This window comes from Homo sapiens, chromosome 2 (assembly GCF_000001405.40).
Source record: "Homo sapiens chromosome 2, GRCh38.p14 Primary Assembly".
NCBI classification, from domain to species: domain Eukaryota; kingdom Metazoa; phylum Chordata; class Mammalia; order Primates; family Hominidae; genus Homo; species Homo sapiens.
Window position 1 is genome coordinate 199928913 of NC_000002.12, and position 24908 is coordinate 199953820.

At 36.3% G+C, this 24908-nt stretch overlaps 1 protein-coding gene across 8 annotated transcripts in view; it reads right to left on the reverse strand.

The window, feature by feature from the left end:
* TYW5 (tRNA-yW synthesizing protein 5) overlaps window positions 1-24908 on the reverse strand; it is a 26579-nt gene continuing 1671 nt past the window's right edge. The window contains exons 2-9 of one of the 8 annotated variants that reach the window (XM_047443271.1): window positions 19406-19560; window positions 14853-14922; window positions 11177-11221; window positions 10021-10158; window positions 7493-7580; window positions 7019-7135; window positions 5914-5951; window positions 1-4411 (exon numbers count right to left, since the gene is read on the reverse strand). In XM_047443271.1, coding sequence (XP_047299227.1) covers window positions 4391-4411; window positions 5914-5951; window positions 7019-7135; window positions 7493-7580; window positions 10021-10158; window positions 11177-11221; window positions 14853-14922; window positions 19406-19560 — 672 coding nt within the window. In that variant the 3' untranslated portion in view covers window positions 1-4390. Of the gene's footprint in view, window positions 4412-5913; window positions 5952-7018; window positions 7136-7492; window positions 7581-10020; window positions 10159-11176; window positions 11222-14852; window positions 14923-19405; window positions 19561-24908 lie in introns of those variants that run through there. The other 7 variants (NR_004862.2, NM_001039693.3, NR_109907.2 and 4 more) reach the window with 7 other exon arrangements.

A 24908-nucleotide genomic window follows, 5' to 3' on the forward strand; every position in this document is an offset into this window, starting at 1 on the left:
TTGGTATAGAAATGTTTAATACATTAAATCTTATGAGGTAAAATACAAAAGGTAGTATTCATAAAAGAGCTATTTTGTTTTATTTCACTTGAAGTTCTTAAGAGAAAAACATAAGAGGAGATATAGACAGACCTCATCTGTAAACTCATGTTGCTCTTTACAAAGGAAGAGACCCAGCAGCTTTTAAGCCAGTTAGTGGTAGAGACAGGCAAGAGTCACCAAAAAAGGTCATTTTAGTATTCTGTTTAATGGAACTTAGAAAGAGACTACATCGTGGGGTTGGGGGAGGGGGAAGGGATAGCATTAGGAGATATACCTAATGTAAATGACGAGTTAACGGGTGCAGCACACCAACATGGCACATGTATACATATGTAACAAACCTGCACGTTGTGCACATGTACCCTAGAACTTAAAAGTATAATAAAAAAATAAATAGAGACTACAACTTAGGTATATTTAAGACACCCAAAAACTTGTGGCTTGTATGCTTGAAACAAGACTAAGGTAACACCAGAGATGTGTGGGTGACTGCCAATCTATGTTAGTTCCTCCTGACTACATCTATTTTTTAGCACTGGGGAAAGGAGTCACAGCAGCACAGTTCCAATTCCATCCAGGCCTGCCTTCCAGCTTCCTGCATTTTTTTTTTTTTTTTTTTGTCAACTCCTTTGATGTCTGTTGGCAACTTTTTATAGGTGATAGAAAAGCCGCCTTACTAAGGTTCTTTCCAAATGTTCACATAGCTGCTGTTCAAAAGGATGAAGGATACAAATTAAGTTTTGTTGACTTTGTTTCCTTTGTTTTGGTATTTTATCAAAGTGAGTTAGAAATTAATTACAGGACAAATAGAATTCTAATGTATTCAAATACCAAGACAAATAATGTTATGAAATGCTAATAATTACACTCTGTTTAGTTTTTTTTTTTGAGACAGGTCTCCCCATGTTGCCCAGACTGAACTTGAACTCCTGGCTTCAAGCACTCCTCCTGCCTCAGCCTCCCAAGATGCTGGGACTACAGGTGTGGACCACCACTCCCCAGCTCTGCATATAATATTTTTTTTTTTTTTTTTTTTTTTGAGACAGGGTCTCACTCTGTCACCCAGGCTGGAGTGCAGTTGCACAATTCCAGCTCACTGCAACCTGCACCTCCCAGGCTCAAGTGATCCTCCTATCTTAGCCTCCTGAGTAGCTGGGACTACAGGCGCACACCACCACAGCCAGCTAATTCTCTGTATTTTTGGTAGAGACAAGGTTTCGCCATGTTGCCCAGGCTGGTCTCGAACTCCTGAGTTCAGATGATCCACCCACCTCGGTGCATATAGTATTTTTAAAATGTATTTTGAAAGGATAATGTGAACAAAAGTCCAAATAATACAAAACTAGATTCTAAGCAGCCCACCTAGTTGAACCTCTTCTTGGAGGCATAATTATCACTGGTTTCTCGTGCATCCTTAGAGATAATTATATGCATATGCAAATAAGATGTTCACACACCACATACCTTGTTTTACACAAATGGCAGTACAGTTTCAAATATGTTTTTCATGTAACATTTAATTTTTCTATTTTTAGTAGAGACGGGGTTTTACCATGTTGGCCAGAATGGTCTTGATCTGACCTCGTGATCTGCCCACCTCGGCCTCCCAAAGTGCTGGGATTACAGGCATGAGCCATGGCACCTGACCCACCATTACTTTTATTTTGAATCTTGTCTGTGTAGCAAGCAGTGCAGTGAGAAATTTTGTTGGCAGAGGAAAAAAATTCCTTTTTGCATCAGGTCAAGCCCCCAAACTAGCCAAAGAAAAGCTGTGTAATCTATTCAGAAGTACTGGAGATGTGCTGCACATTAGGGAGAATGGAGAATTACTGGTCACAACGAATCCCGGTTTCTATCACCCATAGCTATGTGAACCCAGACAATCATTAAGCAATCTGGGTTGGTTAGATGGCTTCTAAGATCTCTTTCAATAAAAAAGTTCTAAGATTCAGAATTCCTGAGAAGTTGCAGCTAACATACACTGTATAAGATTTTATACATTAAAAACAAACATCTCATTTGGTCTTAACCCAGTAGGAAGAAAAGATTAAAATATTTTGTATTTGAAATAAACAGACCCTAATATTAATTATGACCAGGGAAATAATTTTAAAACATCCCAAAGGAAAGTTCTCTAACTTTTAAAATATTATAAATTAATACTGCAACAGGAGCTACCTCAAATCTCTCAACAAAGATGGAATATAATTAAATAGAAGAACTAGCACCAGTTATCAACTATGTGCCTGCCCTTGAACTCTCTGCATTTTTGTAGTTCTGTTTTAAAGATGAGGAAAATAAGCTTCATAGATAAATGTTATTTTGTCTAAGGTCATCCAGTTTGCTTCTCCATTAAACAATCAATTAAGATGACTATTCAGTGCACAAACTGTAATCTGTTTTATTAATACTTCCAAGTTTTCTACATGACTCTGGATTTATACTTTGTATCAATTCTCTTGCTGGTTAAGAAAAAAAACAAGATTTATTAAAAACTGACCATAAATAATGTGTAAACTAAGGAGAGTTTTGTCTTTTTCCTTACTGAAGGACAAGGAATCAGTAAAGAAGTTCTTTGCTTTGCTTAATGAAGATCAAAACCTGGTAATTAAATTTGGCTAATATAATCATTCCTTTTCTGACAAGACTTTTTTCACCTTTATTCACCTGAGTAACTTACCTGTTTCCAAAGACACCTAGGAAATTCAGAATGTTATATATGCTTTTCCTTATTTACTATAATTTATAGGACATGAGTGGATGGATTCTCTTCAATAGAGAAAATGATTTTCTCTAATTAAAATGCACCAAATTGATGTACTAAGAGATTGCTTTAGATGAACACATTTATGTTCAGTGAAGATTATGTGGTCTTCAATGACACTGCAATATAATTACTAGGTACAAAACAAAAGCAGAGATCCACACACAATGGCTCACTGTCTTCGATGACAACACTTTTAGGATCTCATTTATTCATTCTTTAAGTAATTTTTCTTTTAAAAAAGGGATAGGTGGAAAAAATAGTTGGGAAATCTTTAACTAGGCTAAGGTTTAGACATAGGTATAAATTATTTATTTTGTAACATTCAAAAACCAAAAACCACCCTGACATACTGGGTGGCAAGAAAAGTCAAGATCAGATTAAACATTTGTTTTGCACTAATCACAAAACTAATAATCCAAGTCACTATCATCAACTCCAGTTGATCTCAGCTCTGATTATGCATCAGAACACCCTGTGAGGTCTATTAAGTTCCTATACCAAATCCCAAACACTCTTGAATCAGTCTACAAAGTTGGGACCTAGGTATCTGTACATTTTTTAAAGTTCCTCAAAAAATTCTGCTTCTAGGCAAATGTAATAGATATTGTGCGTTGCTCATGTTTTTCCTATCAGAACCATGATTTTAAAAAAACTATCCTTTCTGTCCCCATATATCCCTCATGTGGCCTCCACTTCTACTCTCAGCTCCAGTGGACCTGACTGCCCTAAAGGTTATTCTAGACCCTTTGCCAGTGACTGGCTCAGGGATGGACAGGTCTAAGTTACTTTAGAGCAATGAGACCTAAGGATATGGAAAGTGAATTCTGGGAAAGCTTTCTCATACTAGGACAGGGCCCCTAGAATCCAGCCTGACTCTTCCGCTGCATGTAAATGAAGATGCACAAGGCTCCAACTGCTACTGGCAATCATCCCATGACCACGAGGGTAGCCAGCCTTAGGATGATGCCAATGTTGTGGTTGAAAAGGGGGTGGGGTGTGGAGGCGGGTTCCCAAGGTTCTTGATGACATTACTGAATCATTGGATCAGAAACACTGCAGCACATTCTGTCAATAGATTTCATGTATTGTGAATCAATATATTTTCTTACTGTTTTTAAGTCATTTTAAGTTGGACTTTTAGTGGTCAGCATCTGAATGTTAAAGAGTGGTCCCAGCACAGCATTCTTTAATTATAACAATCTGTATCAAGTAGAATCCACACAAACACCCCTTCGTACTTACATAATCTGTAAATCTGATGTATCTTTCCTATTTTAACAAAATCTTTAATTTATATCGTTATACCTTACTAAAGTGTTAATGTGCATTGCATTCACTTCATTATTTACTCAGAGTTCTTGCTGTAGGCTTTGTCTTGAATGTGTAGGACCATTCGTCGTGCATAGAAGTCCCTATATTCCTCTGGTAACTCGGCCAGTGTTTTCAAGGCTCTGTCCAGAATTTGTGCAGCTCTTGATGCTGCTGTAGGATCTTTGTTTCCATAGGTATCTGTTTTATCATAGCATTCAGATGGAAGGTGCTTCCAAAAGATATTCACTCCCACTCCAAACTCTTCAGAAATTACATTATGGAACCATAAAGCTGGAGAAAGTTTAAAAAACAAGTTAAAAATAAAACCTACAGTTAAAAAAAAACCCAAAATGTCAGTGAAATATCACGAATTGCATATAGCCAATGTAAGAAATAATTCTTGTAACCAGATCCCTTCGTTAGCACACTCCAGGCTTTTAACAGAATCATTTTAACTTTTATGAATTGCCAACAAATTTAAAGTGTCAATAGCACAACCCTTACTTTTAAAACCTTTAGAAATAGCAATTTTTCCTTTAAACTTGAAAGACATAATAAAGATATATTTGTTTTGCAGTTCTCTAATCTAGGGCTGTGTTTTGTGTTACTTGTTTATACTTCCTGAGTCATACAACCACATCAAAGTGTTTATTTTTTGGTACACAGAACATTTCAATTACTTGAGGAGTATCTTTGACCTTTTCTGATTCATTATAATACTTTTGTCCCTAAAGACTTCCTGTTCAAGCTGCGATTTGGTTTTCTAACTTGCTTAAATTCGTATTCATTATAGCCTCCTCGTTTTATATTTTGAATGCAATTATAATCATCTTATATTTCTTTCAGCTCCTTTATAAATAGTATACAAAACTACAGCAAATATTTTGGTGGTGGAAATGATGAGTAAACTTTATTATATACCTAATTAATTTTTTTCCTTTTATTGGGAAATTTACTTTATTTTCAATTGAATCTAAACATTTTCAGAATATAGGTGCTAGAGGAATACTAAAGCAATACCACAATATAACAAAGATGGAACACTAATCACAGGAAAAACCCTTTTAATCCTGTGAAAGGGAGATTTAAATTTTAGAAACTTATTCTAAGAGTGTTTAAGGAAAAACAAAAGCTTAACATTTTGATTTGGAAAACTAATTTTCAAACATGGTTTTAATCTTAACTACACTTTCTTTCAGAATCTTTTTTTTCCCTTATTCAATATAATAGGAAGAAAATGCTAACCATTCAGCTGAATTTAAACCCAAAGACAGGAATTTTGCTTTTGTTTAAAAATATATGCAAATGTTCAGTATTTTTTTTTTTCTTAAAACAATTGTATGAAGAATAAGGGAAAACTACATAGATCTTAATCATGCTCCCAAGATACAAAAACCAAAAGTGTAAATTTAAAAGATGGCAATAGATTTGAAGACTAATACGTTCGTTGCTTTCAATGAAAATAAGAATAAAAAGTCAACTTTTTATAAATTATCAATTATATGAAAGCCATTATATCATATCTGGCCCTTTTGGGGAAGACAAAGATGAACAAAACATAGTTGTCTTCAAGGAATTTATAATCTAGTCCCAAAAGAAGTCATCAAATATGGATCTTTATTAATATTTACTTATTTTTATCAGTGAAAAGTATTAATGATTCTTAATAGATTAATTTAAATATGGAACTACAACTATAAATAGAATTTGTTAATATATCCCTTTAATTTTAATTATGATTTTTATAATCTTCAAGAGTTCACTTTTAAGTATTAATTACAGATGTTAATTACCTTGCTGTGTTGAACTTTATGGACTTTCAAACTAATGCCTATTAATTGAACAAAGAAATTAAGTGACACAAATCCAGACTGTATAGAAAAATAATGTACACAAATGATACTACAGGTGTTGAGATTATAACATTTTAATATGAAATCTTTCATCTGTTTTGGCCTTGAAAGATACTTATCATTTTTTTTTGGTAAATATTTAAGTGACACAGTTCTAAAATACAGAAATATTTTTAAAATAAAATAATTTACAAAACCAATCAGTATAATCTTTTCCCAAATATAAAGTGTCTTACTTGATGTCATTTAATAGAGTATATTATTTTTAAAAAATAATTTAGAAAACGAACAAGTATAATCTTTTCCCAGATATAAAGTGTCCCACTTTGAAAATAATAATAAATAAATAAATAAAAGCTATAAAAAATGTGTCTTACTTGATGTCACTTAGTAAAATAGAGTATAATATTATTTTTATAGGTTGCCCTTGAAAGCAAGACTGTTAATTTAGTTTATTCAGAGACAGGGTCTTACTCTGTTGCTCACAGTGGAGTACAGTGATTCCATGATGCCATGGCATCAACCTCCTCAACCTCAACCTCAACCTCGTGGGCCCAAGAGATCCTTCTGCCTCAGCCTCCCGAGCAGCTGGGACGTACAGATGCACACCACCATGCCTGACTAAATTTATTTATTTATTTTTGTCGAGACGGGGTCTCGCTATGTTGCCCATGCTGGTCTTGCACTTTTGGCCTCAAGCAATCCTCCCACCTTGGCCTCCCAAAGTTCAAGTTGGGAGGATTGCTTGAGGCCAAAAGTGCAAGACCTGTTAACTTATAGGCCAAAACTACAAGGGCTGTTAACTTATAATAAGTTTGCCTAGGCCTGCTTTAAACACACACACACACACACACACACACACACACACACACACACACACATACACACACACGCACACACAGAGTTTTGTCTAAAAATCATCTTGTATAGGACCGGATACATATAACAAATATATATTTGTACTAAAAAAAAAAAATCACATGAAGGATGAGTGACAGAGTACACATTTTATAAATAGCACATTAGTGAGGTCTAGAAATCTTACCAGGAATGAATAATACATCACCAGCTTCAAGGGAACATTCATATCTTCTAGCCTTGGAAAAAAGTGGATATTTAGCCAAGTCTGGGTTATCTATATTCAGTACTTCTGATTTAGTACCTAAAAAGTTCCAAAAAGGGATAATATAGATTCAGCAAAGTTAGCATTTTAAAAAAAGTAATCACAAATATAAATTTGAAAATTTATTCTTTTCTATCCAGTTACTTACTGTACCAACACTGTGAGAATTACTATGCTACTGACACCTAAGACAATTTTCAATGACTCACTCTTTAATTCTGATGACTGATACCCATGTAATAAGATAATTTCAAATTTGAACCTGTTATTACATATATACACAAATACAATTAGGATTAAGTACTGAAGTGTTCTTTTCCTATAAGAATCAAGAGATTTCTCAAAAAGAGTAACTGAATAGACTTTTGAAATATAAACTTAAAAAAAATCCCATACCTTTTAAATATAAATACTGGGCATCTCGAGGACTGAAGAGTACAACACGCTTTTTTCCTGTCACTTGTATTAACAAATTATCCATTACCTGAAGACCAATAAAAGCTTATGGGTAATCATTATCTAAAATTCAAATAAATAGAACCAATGGCATGCTAAACTTTAACTGCAAACCCGATCCTTTAATGAGACTTGACTTACTTAAGACTCTTACAGTTACCTAACAATAAAAACATTTGTATTCCATATACAACTGGGCCTTCAAGACATTTCTGCAGTACTGCCCTAAAATGGGAAGACTTGGCAAATTAGAAAATGTGGAGTCAGAAAACGATTTGCCTTTGCCTCACCATTAACTGACAGCATAGTTAAGCCTATTTAAGGCTCCCCTTGGTTAATATTTACTATCTGTTAAGGAATGCTATAAGCCCAAAATTAGACAACAGAGTAAAAGCACTTAGAAAAATCAGATGCTAGGAAAATACAAGGTACTGTTGCAACTGCTGCTACACTCTTAATATATGTTCAACCATAATTTCATTATAGGTATCTTGATTTTCAAATTATTTCTATAGGAATATAATCTCACAGATTTTCTTTTTTTTTCCTTTTCTGCAAACAGTATGGTGATTTATGACAGATTTTCTTAATATATATTTATTATTGGAGCAATCGTTTCCCATGAATGTAATGGTATACTTTCTTGGTATAGATTGTGAAAAAATGTTAAAGGCAGAGTCACATAATTCTCAGCTAAGGATTTAAGATAAGCACTAAGCAAGATATATTCATGATTTTTTACTTCTACCTAAGCATTCTTCCTTTTAGTACTAACCCTTTACTCATGTAAACCATAACTATACAATTCAAACTAGCGTTCCTCTGACTTAATTTATAATAAAAGCTTTATATATTACATTCTATTATAATTCAAGGTAAAGGGGATACTACTCAAAATTTAAAACATAATCATAGAGGCCAGGCATGGTGGCTCATGCCTGTAATCCTAGTACTTTGGGAGGTCGAGGTGGGCGGATTACTTGAAGCCAGGAGTTTGAGACCAGCCTGGCCAACGTCGCAAAACCCCATGTATACTAAAAATAAAAAAAAAAAAATTAGCCGGGTGTGGTTGTGCATGCCTGTAATCCTAGCTATCTGGGTAGCTGAGATACGAGAATCACTTGAATCTGGGAGGGACTGGTTGCAGTGAGCCAGGATCGTGCCACTGCACTCCAGCCTGGGTGAAAGAGCAAGACTCTGTCTCAAAAAACAACAACAACAATCATCATCATCATCATCATAGAATATAGTTAAAATGTATTACCACATGATTTTCTCACCATGTTATTCATATAAAACTGTAAAATATGCTAAGAGTTCATGTCTATTTCATAATTACAGATTTACTGACTATGGTAAAATCCTCCCAAGAGGGTCTCAACTGAATTACAAAACACATGTATAAAATGTTATACTGTGATTTAGAACTTAAAAATTTTTTTTTCTTTGGAAACTTGTTAGATATTCCTTTACCTTCCTTAAGTTTCTCTACTTCCCAACACCAAACCATATACCATACTAGTATTTTTAATGTTTTTAAAACGCTTATAGATGTGTACATAAATTTAAGCAAACAAAATAACATCATAAATAATCAAGATCAATTTTTTTTTTTTTTGAGACAGAGTCTCGTTCTGTCGCCCAGGCTGGAGTGCAACGGTGCGATCTCGGCTCACTGCAAGCTCTGCCTCCTGGATTCACGCCATTCTCCTGCCTAAGCCTCTGGAGTAGCTGGGACTACAGGCACCCGCCACCATGCCCAGCTAATTTTTTGTATTTTTAGTAGGTACGGGGTTTCACCGTGTTAGCCAGGATGGTCTCGATCTCCTGACCTCATGATCCGCCCGCCTCGGCCTCCCAAAGTGCTGGGATTACAGGTGTGAGCCACCGCGCCCAGCAGATCAAGATCAATATTGTACACATTTTTGCTGCCCTACAAATACAGCAGATATTTGACATTCTCAAGGCATATATATCCTAAGATCTTCAGATATCCCCAAATTCTTACAATTGGTAATGACTCAACAAGCTTCAGCCTTTTTCCTGAATAACATAACTTTGCATGACCCAGAGAGTTATGGATCTCTGGGTAGCCAGAGTCATGTGTATCATTTATACCTCCTTATACTAAAGGCTTATCACTTTTTCCAATACAATTTCCCCCATTATCTGGTGGCCATTTTTCACATGGAAAAAAAAATCACTTCACAAAACTTGGTATATATATGATGATGAATCAAGAATAGGACCACAGGGAAATACAAATGTGAGGAACCAACTAGGCTTTGCCATTAGCAAAATAATTCATTCCTGTATCACTGCTATGCACAGCACCTATTTTCAAAAGTCATGTTTCAGCAAATTACACAGATGTTTAGGGTAACCTATAGGAAGTTGAAACTGTGACTGTTAAATCTATAATGCTAAAGATCTATTGTAGCTTTAAATTTCTCATTTATGTAGCATACATCATAATGAGTCCATAGTTGTAATCCTGGTGAACTAATTCGAAAAACACTGGAAAAGAACTGTTCCTCTTTGAAGAATTCTGGAAACTTAATATCTCCTTTCAACAAAGGAAACTGCTTTCTGATATCTGCAACATCCTGCATTTACAGAAACATAAAAAGAAAAAATTAGATTAGACCCTATGATATTAAGGAAGACTGGGGCAAAACTTTGTTCACTGCTTTAAAATACTATGATGTGACCATGTGCCAATACATGATCTCTCTCTCTCTATCTTTCTCTCTCTCTCTCCCCCAAGTAGCTGAGATTATAGGCACCTCCCACCACGCCCAGCTAATTTTTGTATTTTTAGTGGAGACGGGATTCCCCATGTTGGCCAGGCTGGTCTTGAACTCCTGACCTCAGGTGATCCACCCACCTCAGCCTCCCAAAGTGCTGGGATTACAGGCATGGGGCCACCTTGCCTGGCCGATACATGATCTTTCAAATGAAGAAATACCAGGCTGTGTAACAAGACTGCAGATTTTATAGTATCACTACTGTTAAGCTCAATATGCTTCATTAATAGAAAGGTTCTTTCTACTTTAAGCAAATTACACAAATGTCATCCACTCTAATATTCAGGAGTCAACACCTTGAACTAACATTACTAGCTATCACCTACATAAAACCTGTGAATTCTACTGAGGGAGGGGACTAAAAGAGAGGGTAAACAACTAAATGGTGACATAAATGGAAAAAATAATCTTATTTGATCATTTTAGGGACTACTCTTTAATATCACAGCCATACTAATTTGACTCTGAATACATGTCAAAACTTATACAATGAACTATTCAGGATTCTAATAATTATTTCAAATTAATATTTTGTTAACTGAGTTGCCACCTATAAAATATACAGTAGAAGAGATTTCTTATTGTATAGGGATTAGATGACTATAAACACTAAGATTCTACAGGCCTACCTGAATACAAAGTAATCACTTTTTAATCATCTTACTTCTTATTCAGGGGCACAAATCACTGAGAGAAGAATGGAAAAGGATAGAACAGGGAATATGTCAGGCAGTAAGTATAAAATTACAGTGTTGCCAGTTAACATACATACATCCATTTAGATTTTAGGGAATTGTTTTACATTTAGAATTCTTACCTTTCTAGGGTCTTCTCCAAGTGACCGTAAGTAGTATTTCTCATCCTTAAACACCCCAGAGAAAAATAACATCAGCAATATTTTACTTTTTCAAATGTAAAAATACTAGGATTTGTATAGCTATCATGTATTCATAATAATTAAAAGTAAAAAAAAGAATTATGTACTGAGAACTACGGAAAAAAATAAAACACCTTCACTTCAAAAATATTAGGAAGTAAAGTTAGGAAACAAGTCTTAAAATCTGACCCAGTTAAGTAGTTTTCTAAAAAGTTCAATTATCGCTGGGCGTGGTGGGTCACAACTGTAATCCTAGTACTCTGGGAGGCCAGGGCAGGAAGACTGCTTAAGTCCAAGAGCTCAAGACCAGCCTGGGCAACAGAGTGAGACACCATCTACAAAAAATTAGCTGGGCATGGTGGTACGTGCCTGTAGTCCCAGCTACTTGGGAGGCTGAGGCTGCAGTGAGCTATGATTGTGACACTACACTCCAGCTTGGGTGACAGAGCAAGACCTTTTCAAAAAAGAAAAAAAAAAAAAAAGTTCAGTTCTCTTACCCTTTCTACTAATGCTCTCTGGTGGCCATATGAAGAAATGTCTTTAATATGTTGCTCATGATAGTGACTGGATCCATAAAACAATAAGTAAAATAAATTCTAAAGGCAACATATACATACCATCTCTAAAGCTACAATGATTTAGTCTTTATGTTCCAAATTATTTAGACTCTTATTTTAATAGTGTCTTAATACTTAGTAAATATAAATGTACAGTAACAGATAAATACCTTATGCTTTTAATAATATATTTTTTTAAACTTGAGAACACTGCATTTTATCAAGCTAAGCCTATCCCTGTCTATAAATTCTCAAGCCAAATGCTTAAGATTCAGCTCATGTATGAATTAGAAAAATATAATTTCATTGTAGTAAACGTAAACTGATCATTTAAAAAAATTATTTAAATTTTTTAAATTAATTAATTGTTTTGAGACAGGGACTCATTCTGTCACCCAGGCTGGAGTGCAGTGATGCGATCACGCCCACTGCAGCCTCAACCTCCTGGTCTCAGGCAATCCTCCTGCCTCAGCCTCCCGAGTAGCTGGGACATTCAGCTAATTATTTTTACTATTTGTAGAGAAGGAGACTCGCTATGTTGTCCAAGTTGGTCTCGAACTCCTGGACTCAAGTGATCCTCCGGTGTTGGCCTCCCAGAGTGCTGGGATTATAAGCATGAGCCACTGTGCGAGGCCAAAAATTATTATTTATCCTTCACCAAGTAACTAGAGAACTGTTTGAATTATAAAACATTCACTGTTAGAGAAGTGAGATATACCAAGTCAAGCACTTGGGCAATCCAAACTCAGAATTCTGCCTCTTTCACCCAACACTGAGAATTATAACATAAACTTCAAAAGATAATAATATTTATCTTAAGACATAAATTGATGATTGAGGTTTTAATTGAACTCTCAGTGCTTTTCTATTTTTAGCTAGCACCACATCACATAGATTCTATAAATTACTGGCTAATAAGTTTCAAAATGTTCTTCGAAAGTCTAAGGGTTTTCTACTAGTTCTAACATTTCAAGATTTAAAAAATAAAATTAATGCACCAGACACAGAAGTGCACTGCTCAGAAATTCCTTCAAGAAAGAACTCACTGCTTCATTGTAAGGAGTGTGATTAGCTTAGAGCTACCAGCTGTTAACTTCTTCAGGTCCACCTCAGGATTGGAATCTAGGTCATGCTCTTCTTGGGGTAGTCACAACCAGTGACTTAAGCTGGTAAAAGACCTAGACATTGCCACCCAATGCAGGACTTTTCTCATAGGCAGTCTGCTCAGGAGTTCCAGGATGAGTTGGCAGAGACTGTCAGATCTGTATCTACATGTCTTCCCCTATCCAATCCTGCTTCCTCCCCTTTCCTTTCACAGTTATTTCTCCTATTTAACAAGACTTTTGCACTCCTTGTTTTTCTTTTCTTTTTTTTTTTTTGAGACGGAGTCTTGCTCTGTAGCCCAGGCTGGAGTGCAGTGGTGCAGTCTCGGCTCACTGCAAGCTCCGCCTCCCGGGTTCACGCCATTCTCCTGCCTCAGCCTCCCAAGTAGCTGGGACTACAGGCGTATGCCACCATGCCTGGCTAATTTTTTTGTATTTTTAGTAGAGGCGGGGTTTCACCGTGTTAGCCAGGATGGTCTCAATCTCCTGACCTCCTGATCCGCCCGCCTCCGCCTCCCAATGTGCTGGGATTACAGGCGTGAGCTACCGCGCCCGGCCAGCCTTTTGCACTCCTAATTCCATCTCAGCATCTGCTTCTTAGAGGACCAAACTGACAGTTCAAGTTGATCTTGTTTACATAGTTTCCATGATTTTTAGACTTTAATCTTTTACCACGTGTCTATTTCTTTTACTTCACATTTCATGGCTATTTAAATATATACCACTGATTACCCTTAGACATCAAAGTACCAAAGGGCAACTGAATATACATGTTCAAAGCATGGCTATAAAGTTATAAAACAGTTCTCAGGTGCAGCTAATGGAATCCATTTAAAAAGACATTTTGGTTATACTACAGAATCACAGACCTACAGAGTTTGTGGGGATTGTGGCAGTAATCTAGTATAACTATTACCTGACAAGAGGACTGTAAAAATGCAGCACCTTTTAGAACCAAACTCCCCAGCCCAGCTGGCTCAAATGCAGAAAACAGCTTCATTCAAAGATTAAAAAGCAATTTGTTTTTAAAATGTGCTTTTGAATAACACAGTGAATTTTTTTTTTTTTTGGACAGTTATGCTCTTGTTGCCCAGGCTAGAGTGCAATGGCGCAATCTAGCTCACTGCAACCTCCGCTACCTGGGTTCAAGTGATTCGCCTGCCTCAGCCTCCTGAGTAGCTGGGATTACAGGCATGCACCATCATGCCCAGCTAATTTTGTATTTTTAGTAGAGACTGGGTTTCTCCATGTTGGTCAGGCTGGTCTCGAACTCCCGATCTCAGGTGATCCACCCGCCTTGGTCTCCCAAAGTGCTGGGATTACAGGCGTGAGCCATTGCGCTCGACCAACACAGGAAATTTTTAAAAACATATTTATATACAAGGCCTTGATGCCTTATCTCAAGGTATTTAAATTGAATTATTTAAAGCTAGACTATAATTAAGTAGAATTCTTCCGCATTTAATCCTGAACAAATATTACAGCAAATATACACAATAGAAATCACATTGATAACAAGAATACAGAAACAGTCTAATAGTCAATAGATATGAAAATGAAGTTTTCCATTAGCATTTGAAGTTGGCATATCAGACCAAAGCATTTTAAAAGGACGTAACATTAATAGCTAACATTTAATGCGTAATTTCTATACATCAGGCACACTGCTAAGTATTTTACTATTTTATTTAGTTAATCCTCACAAACACTTTATAAAATAGGTACTATTATCACCCCCATTTCACAGATGAGTATACTGAAGTACAGAAAAATAATTTGGCCAAAGTTTGAGAGCTAATAAATAGCAGAGCTACAGTCTGTGGTGCATCCAACCAAATCTTACGAATGTCTATCAGAGACGGCTGTTGCTCTTGTGTATCTACTATTCTTTCATAAGAAAATCCATTTAGTATATAGATATTAATGCCTTCTTTTAAAAATGTTAAAAGCAATTACCTCTGAAACAAAGAATTCTTTATGTTTCTCTTCAGCTGCCCTCTGGACCAACTGGTCAAAAGGTAAAGTTCTGAAATAAACACAAAGGAATCCTTGGACTTAATAATAACAGATCAACTAGTAAGAATCTAATCACTATACATAAAGGCTTGCTGGAGTTGGATATAATCTCCTGTTTTATAATATCTGTAATTTTTATTATAACCTATTATGTGAAATTCTAACTTTTCAAAACTTATTGAGCAGTATGTTTACTTGATCTAAGTTGTCTGAAATTTTGGAATTAAATATTTCAAAATCTATGATACAGATGAATCTTTCAATAGATCAATATTCTATTCCAAGTTATGACAGAAAAATGTTTCTATGGTATCTGATTACCTTTGTAAATACACAGACTTTCAGGTTCTGATTGCTACCTGTTTTTAAGTGGCATGGCAAAACAAATCTTGTGAAGAGTGGGGCAAACTACTAGTGCTACTTTGGAAGAGACAGTACACAAATGGTCCCATGAAGATAACCACCCCCCATATTCCTGCCTTTTGGCATATCACAGAACACAGAAGCCAGTAACACTGCTCTCATCCTGCTGCACCACCCTCTATCATTTTAAGGCTTCTGAAGAATAGCTCAAGGAGAATTCCAGTGAAGTGACCAATTTTTATTCTTCAAAATTTCTGCCCAAATGCCTGTCTCCTTCCATCCTGATGAACAGGGCTGAACACTGTGGAAGCAAAATTTGTTTCCTTTACATCACACTCTTGAGCTAGAAGGATATTCTTACTCCAGATTGCATCTATTCCTTTACTCTCTAGAATCAAAAGTACTGCTCTATAAATGATGGTGATACTGTATAAGTAACAAGACAATGAAGTCCTCAAAAGCCTCTAGGTCAAAATCCTCTCCTCTGCTACCCCCACTACACTCCTGCCTCCAAACTTCTGATTAAAAGCTGTAATCTTTTCACTCTTACTACTAAATATCTTCCCACTTGAACTCTGTACTGAGAAAGTCGAAAGAAAAGGTTAAATACTTTCTCCTTCTCTATGAGAAGATGACCTTGGGCCAGCTTACTTTCTCCTTGCACTGTTTTCCCAGAAATATACTGGGTAAACACAAACATGGTGTGAACCCATGAATTATGTTGAATAAAAAAAATTAAAGATAAATGTGGAATGTCAGTTGTGATATCAGGTAACACTGTTTATCATAAAAATAACCTGATAGATGAATTATGTTTGCACCAGGTGGCCTATAAGTGGACTACAAATACTTGTTCAGAAGCAGATGATTTGGCTTTCCTGTGTGTAGTGCAACTCTCCTAACTGAGTATGGCCCTTGGAGGAACGCAGAAGCTAAGTTCATGGGGTGTTTCAAGCTACCGGTTTCTATGGACCATATGTCTTACCTAAGCTCAGGTGTTTCTATACTACCTCCATTGTCTCATTCCCTTACAACTAAGCTGTAACTTGATGAGTAAAACAAATATTCCCTGGATTTGTATAAAGACTCCACTGATACTACCCTGCTAGAATGCCGTTTCCTGCCTTATATCCTCCCGCAAAAAGCTAAGGGAATCTGAAGCCAGGTTATGGATTGGTGGGTGCTCTGTATGTCAGTCTGAACTTGAGGCCACTGCTGGTAATTATGTAGAGTGAGCACTGCAGGAGAGAAAAGAGGGGTCTGCCATCTACTCAGACCAATGCAGAGTACTATTTCTTTGACTATAGATAGTGTCTGACTAACTAATATCAACAAATTTACTTGGCATTCTCCTACTCAGTGTTTCCCATCTCTGACCTCACCATATACCCTTCATTCCTTCTTGCTTTCATTCTTCAAAGCATCTTTGAAGAGTCTGGGCCAGTGGGGAAGTTTATCTGGACCATAGCCACTACTGTAATTGCTGCATTTAACCAGGCTTAGCTTTCTTACCAGGAATAACACAAAAGTGTTTCAAGACCTTTAGAAAAACAGAACAGAACAGTGACCCTGAAAGAGCAGACAGAGTAGCTCAGCCCAGATAAGCAGAACTGGGGTGTCACCAGCAACCTTTTCTCCTAGGTAATGGTACCTGTCATAGCTTCTACTAAGCCCAGATGGGGGAGAAATTAGGTATGTAAATTGGGAAGTTCTTTGGCTTTTTAAAAATCTATCCTATCCATGTTTCAAAAACAAGGGCATTGGTTATTAAAGGGCCATTTGTCTGGACTGGCAGCACCAGTAAGGAGGGTAATGTCAAAGAAGGCTTAATCATGGGCTCCGTGGAGTCAGGGAAATTAGAGTAAACACCTTGGGTTCCATCACTTCAAGCTATGTGATCCTGGAGAAGTTACTTAATATTTTTAAACCTCTCTTTCCTCATCTGTGAAATTATTATTAAAAATATCTACCTCACAGATTGTTCTGAAGTTTAAATGAGTAATATAACCTAGATTGCTTGGCACAGTAGCTGATATATAATAAGTACTCAGTAAAGGACAGATGGTGGGGTTAACAACAATGATAATGTACCCTTTTGCAGCACGCAAGTAGTCATCAACATTTTAAAAAAGAAGAAGAAAGCCCTTCACTGTCTTGTTCCCCATTTGGAAAAGGCTGCTTTACAAAATCAAGATCAGAACTGATGAGAGTACAATAAACAAGAGCAAGATGATGACAGGAATTACAGGATGTGACAGGAAGATGTGGCAAACCTTACATGATGAGACTTTTTAAAAAAATCTATGATCAGAAGAATGCCAACAATATCCTTTCACCACACAAGGTTCTTTTGTCCAGACTCTCCTGACTCTGAACAATGAGCACTACCAATAAGAAAGAAGTAAAAGTTCATACCTGTTAACGTATCAATCTTCCAATGTTTGATAAGGCATAAAAGCAACCTCAATTTGAAGTGATAATAATAATATACATGTGTGTGCAGGGTTTCTTACTTTCTAGTCTCTCTTTGGCCTGGATGCATTCCTTCTTTCTTACTGCCTGGTAAATGCTAAAAATGACTAAACCTATTTTTTTGGTTGCACTAAAAAAAATAATCTTGCAACTTTTTAGTAGCTCTAGTGAAAGGCTTGGAGGAAGCTGTGATAGGAACTATTACATAATGTATGTGCTTCAAAAACAACTTTTGAAAAGTTTAAAAAGACATGACAAAACATCAAGGCAATTCAAGATGAAGTTTCAGTACTCATTTGTTATGGCATTGGACTCCCTGGAAAATAAACATCATTAACTGCCAGCTGAAAAACACTCATCATTCTGGCATTTTTAATTTGATAAAAAATGAAAAGTTCCTACACTTGGAAAAACTTAAGGCAATTAAATTCAATTCATGGACTATTAATAACTAAAACCATTATGGTGAATATTCAAAGGATTAAAAACTGAGGAATGCTTTGGCAGCTGCTATATGAACTTGGAAAACTCTAATGAGAAAGGAATGGCTGTGGACATTAGAAGCTCTATTTAACTCATCTCTAAATTGAAGTCTTGTGAACTACATGGTTTTTCAATAGACTGATTTTGCTGGGAACTTCACATGCTCAGAGTTTGAGAGCTGTTTGTTTTTAATTTAACAATTTAAATGAAACTCATGGGAATAAATAGCAAATGAAATCTGCAAGATGACAGCATTTAAAACTTTCATCTTTAGACAATCAGCAGCTTTTGACTATTTCTTATTTACTTTTAAGAAATTCCACAGCATAAAATAACCATCATGGGAGAAATTAAAGGTATTTAAGACTATTTTATCAAAAGGGAAAATTAAGTATGATTTTTAAAAGTTATCTAAGATGATGAAAGATTATACCAAACATAGCTTGTCCTGGTTTTCTGGAGAGGACAGAAAAAGAAAACATGAGCCTTTTAGAATTTCCTATTCTAGATAACAGTTACTAATGTGGTAGGATCAACTAATTAATCAAGCATTGAATGAGTATGGCACATCCAACTTCGTATGAAATCTAACCCTAGTTACAGAAATTTTATCTTCCTTCCATGACTCCAGAAGGTATTGGGTATATACCCTATTTAAAAAATTGTTGGCCAGGCATGGTGGCTCATGCCTGTAATCCCAGCACTTTGGGAGGCTGAGGCAGGTGGATGACTTGAGGCCAAGAGTTTGAGACCAGCCCGGCCAACATGGTGAAACCCTGTCTCTACTAAAAATACAAAAGTTAGCTAGGCATAGTGGCATGTGCCTGTAATCCCAGCTACTCGGGAGGCTGAGGCAGGAGTATCACTTGAACCCAGGAGGCAGAGGTTGCAGTGAGCCAAAATCACACACCTGCACTCCAGCCTGGGTGGCGCAGTAAAACTCTGTCTCAAAAAAAATAAAAAATAAAATAAAAAATTGTCACTGTATAATTATGTAAACTCAGAACTCTTGTCTTTTAAAAACCACTCTTTAAAAATCAGTAAGCTATTCCATGATTACATCAAACCAGCCAAAAGATGAAATGCCATATGGTCTTTGTATAATAATGCAAAAATATTTTAAAAGTTTTTAAAAAGTTATTTGTATCCCCAGAGTAAACCTCAGAAGAAAATACCTATATACAAAGTTCTTACTAATGAAGTCCATCTGTGCAACTGCAGCAACATGAATCTTTACTTCTTTCTTCCCTCCAACTTGGCTTAGGTAATCCACTGTCCATTTGCTTGTACATGGCCCCAAATCAATCCCTTCCAACACAAGAGGTTTTCTCTGTAAGTGGGGAAAGAAATACAACAAAATTCATGAAAACCAACAACACATCAAGAGCTGTATTTGGCAACAGGGAGACAAAAACAAGTAAGATCTGACTCTTGCTCCCAAGATGCTTGAACTCAAAGCTTCTGACAGTTCATGCTGTCACTAAAACAAGAAGAGGGGCCATATGAAATATCTAGAACAAAATTTTAAGATTAGAAAAACAAAACAAAACTGCAAGACCATCAATATATAATGACTAAAATTTGTACTTTATAGTCAAATATTTTTGTAACTTTTAATTTTGATGTCATTTCAAACTTATAAAAAAGTTTTAAGAGCACTACAAAGAATTTCCGTAAACGCTTTACCCCGATTCACCAACTGTTAACATTTTGCACATTTGCTTTATGATTTGTTCTTACTTTCAAGAGAAGGACATATTATTATTAATTGAAATTAAATTAAGCATAATTTTGTTTTTTGGAACCATTTCAAGGTTAAATTGCTGACACCATGGTCCTTATCTCTAAAAACTTAAGTATATTTTCTGAGAACAAAGACATCTTCTTATATAACCACAGAATAATTACCAAAATTATATTTAACACTGATGTAGGCTGGGCACAGTGGCTCACGCTTGTAATCCCAACACTTTGGGAGGCCAAGGGTGGATCACTTGAGGTCAGGAGTTGGAGACCAGCTTGGGCAACATGGCGAAACCCCATCTCTACTAAAAATTAAAAAAAAAATAAGAAAAAGAAAATTTGAAGTGTGGTGCATGTCTGTAATCCCAGCTACTCGGGAGGCTGAGATGGAAGAATTGCTTGAACCTAGGAGGCGGAGGTTGCAGTGAGCTGAGGTCGCACCATTGTACTCCAGCCTGGGCGACAGAGTGAAACTCCATCACACACAAAAAAACAAAAAACAAAACACTGACATAATACTATTATCTAATCTACAGTCCATACTCAAATTTTGCTAATTGTCCCAATGATTTCCTTTGCTTTATTTTTTCCTAACCCAGAATTCAATCTGAGATGTCACACTGCATTCAGTTGCTATGTCTCTTTTAATCTGAAATGTTTAATCATCAGCCTCTTTACCTTCTATGACTTTGACATTTTGGAAGAGTATAGGCCAGCTATTTTGTAGAAAACTTTTCAATTTGGGTTTATCTTAAGTTTCTTCATAATTAGACTCAAGTTACACATTTTGGAGAAGGAATGTACCACAAAAGGAATGGTGTCGCCTTCTCAGCATGCCACATCAGGTAGCACACGATGTTTTGCTATGATGAGTGCAAAAAACAGTGATTTTTCTAAACTCCATCATTTCTTCTACATTTATTAGTTGGCATCCTAATATCGAAATGAGCTCTAAATTCTCCACTGAATTATTTTATTTACTGGGTAATAATCTAGTGGTATCTAGTGGTATAATTTTGATACCCAAATTATCCCAGATTTGGCCAGTAAGCCCCTTCAAGATGCTTCTTGTGACTTTTTAACTGGGGCACTTCCTTACATTATGGCAAAAAAAAAGAACCCGACGTCTTTTATACTTTCTCTGCCCAGCCCTGTGATCAGTCATTTCTTAAAGTAGTTCTGGTTTCTTCTCAGTGGACACAGTTAGGATATATGTGAGGGTCTATGTATATCGCACAAATATATATACACGTACACCCCATATATGCATATACCTATTCTATTCAGCTCTCTCTCCATATATGTCCATATATATAATACATGCACACACACATATACCTAACAGGTGTACGTATGAACCATAAACATTTCAAGGTTCATTATAATCTACTGAATTTGTAATTCCCATTTTCAGCAGTGGGAAACCTAGTTCCCATTATCCTCAATGTTTAATGACTTGCAAAATCCCAGAATTCACAAGAAGTAAAGAATTCACAGAATTTGCTTTTGCCACTGTTAGGTCACACCACTGTAAAAAACATGTCTACAACAGGTCCTCAAATAAAGTTATAACACAGATGAGAAAAAAAATCAATTCCTAGCCAGGGCCCCCCTCCGAGTAGAGTTTTTGCATTCTCCTCACATCTCTGTGGGTCTTCCCCGGGTACTCTGGTTTCCTCCCACAACCCCAAGATGTGCACATTAGGTACACTGGCATGTCTAAATGGTCCCAGTATGAGTGAGTGCATGTGGGTCTGTGTGTGTGTATGTGTGTGTGTATGTGCACGTGCGCGTGCCCTGAGATGGGATGGTATCTTGTCCAGGATTGGTTCCTACCTTGTGCCCTGAGCTGCCAGGAGAGACTCTGGCCACCTGTGACCCTGAACTGAAATAAGCAGGTTGGAAAATGAAGAAAGGAGTGAATACAAAGTATGTAAAACAAAAATTTGTAAAGCATATGATAATCATACAAGTGCACAATAAACAAGGGGGTATGAAAGCAATCAGCAAACCTGTCACACTTGTTTTGAACTGTTCAGTGGTAGGAGGAGCTCCTTACAATTTTCCATTTGTAAACATTTATTCCTTGATTTAACCCACCACTACTATGACCACTGTCACATAACAATTCACCAAAAATTGAGTAATTATTTACTTTTATTAATCCTTCTTAAATGTACATGTAGCTCATGTTTATTTCAATGTTTAAGATTAGAAATGTTTTGGGTCTTTATTTACAAGTTTGGTGATATTTTTGTGACCAGAAATATGCCACTGGAACTTAACTCTTGTTTGTATCAATTAGCCTGTGGTAAAACTGGTTTCATTATAGGTCATTTCCCTTAAAGTTGCAGCTTCCAAGAACCTACTGAGAACGTTAAATGAGGACTTACTGTACTAACTAGAATTCAGTTTGTTTTCAGTTTTTTGTGTCTTAGATTGAGGACATATAATTAAAGTATTGTGTTTAAAAAAAGTGACTTGGGTAACTTCTCCCTCTCCCACTTAAACAGATTCATGTGTTACTTTTTATATTCTATATTAGGGTCTTTTAAAAAATAATTTTTCATCCTTGTTGATTTTATTATTATGACTTTAGAATGTAAAACATCCATGTGATTCCCCAAATCAAAACTATACAAAAGTCACCCCATCCACATTCTTCCATTTCATACTCACACATCCCCTATGCATAACTGATCTCATTAATTTTTGGCTTATTCCTTTCTTTTTTGCAAAGTGATCAAAAACATATATTTCATTATCTCTTCCCCTTGTTTTTTACATAAATAGTAGCTTACCATATATTTTCTTCTGTTGTGTGCTTTTTAAAAAATTCATAAATATATGGCTGGGTGCAGTGGCTCACGCTTGTAATCCCAGCACTTTGGGAGGCCGAGGCAGGCGGATCACAAAGTCAGGAGATCGAGACCATCCTGGCTAACACAGTGAAACCCCATCTCTACTAAAAATACAAAAAAATTAGCCGGGTGTGGTGGCGGGCACCTGTAGTCCCAGCTACTCAGGAGGCTGAGGCAGGAGAATGGCATGAACCCGGGAGACGGAGCTTGCAGTGAGCTGAGATCGTGCCACTGCACTCCAGCCTGGGTGACAGAGCAAGACTCCGTCTCAAAAAAAAAAAAAAATCATAAATATATCCTAGAAATCACCACTTATCAGTTCAGATATCGCCTTTATTCTTTTTTACATCTTAGTATACCTCAGTGTAAATGGGCCATAATTTATTCAATTATTCTCGCCTGCATAAGCATTTAGGTTATTTCCAATAATTTGCAAGTACAGTAACACTACGTAAATATTTACACATTTTTGGAGGTATATCTCCAGAATAAATTCCTAAATGAGGAATTACTGGGTCATAAAGTGAACATAGTTAGATATGCCAACAGAGTTGTACCATTTGGTATAAAATTTGAGTATGCCAGTTTCTTCAGGGCATCACCAAGAGAGTATTACCAGAGCTTTTTAAATTTTTGCCAATATGATATATAAGAAGTTGTATCTCAGTGTAGCTTTATTTCTCTTATGAGTAAACTTAAACTTCCTAGTTTAAAGGCCATTTTAATGTTTTTTCCCCCCTCAATCGTTTGCTCATTTTTCTACCAGATTTTCAGCCTTTTACCCCCTTTTGAAAGTTCTTTCCATACAAGGGCTTTTACTGTCCTTTATATGAGATAAATGTTGCAAATATTTTCTCCCACTTTGTATTTGTCTTTCAAATTTGCTTACAGTGTTTCTGGCATACAAATGTTTCATGCAGTCAAATTTTAATCTAATATTACACCTGAATTTTGAGTCATAGCTAGAAATGCCTTCCATAGACCTAGATTATAGGGGAATTTACCCATATTTTCTACTAGCACTTGTGTAGCTTCATTTTGTTTTGTATTGCCGAGTGTACTCACAACTTGTGTAGTTTCATTTCTTTACATTTTTCTGATCCACTTGGAGTTTATTCTTGTGTACAGTGTGAGATATAAACCGAATTTTATCATTTTCTAAGTGAAACTCCTCTGTATAATACCATAATGGTGGATTCATTTCATTATAAATTTGCCCAAACCCATAGAATGTACAATATCAATAGTATACCCTAATATAAACTATGAATTTTGGGTGAAAATGATGTGCCAGGCTGGGCGCGGTGGCTCACGCCTGTAATCCCAGCACTTTGGGAAGCTGAGATGGGCGGATCACCTGAGGTCAGGAGTTTGAGACCAGCCTGGCCAACATGGCGAAACTCCGCCTCTACTAAAAAATACAAAAATTAGCCGGACGTCGGGGCGGGTGCCTGTAGTCCTGGCTACTCAGGAGGCTGAGGCAGGAGAATCGCTTGAACCCTGAAGGCAGAGGTTAACGTGAGCCGAGACTGTGCCACTGTACTCCAGCCTGGGCGATAAGAGCAAAACTCCATTTCAAAAAAAAAGAAAAAGAAAATGATGTGCCAATGTAGGTTTATCAATTGTAACAAATATACCACTCTAATGAGGGGATGTTGATCATGGAGGAGGCTATCCATGTGTCAGGGCAGAAAGGACATGAGAAATCTCTGTACCTTTGGTCAATTGTGCTGTGAACCTATAAAGCCTCGAAAAAACAGTCTATTTTTTAAAAAGTCATTTTGTGCCTTATTGATTTTTGAAATGTCATGCTTATTATACACTAAATTTCCATAGGAATAGGTATTTCTGCACTTTCTATTCTATTCCCTTGGTCTATCTATTCATGTACCTGTACAATATACAGTGTTAATTATGGAGTTATTAGAAAATGTTTAACAAAAAACTCATAGCACTATGCCCCCTCATACTTTTTAGTGTTTCCAGATAGAAAGGTCTTTTTTTCCAATTTTGTTATTAATTTCTAGTTTTACTGCCCATGGCCAGAGAAAGTTGTTTGTAATTTTCGACTTTT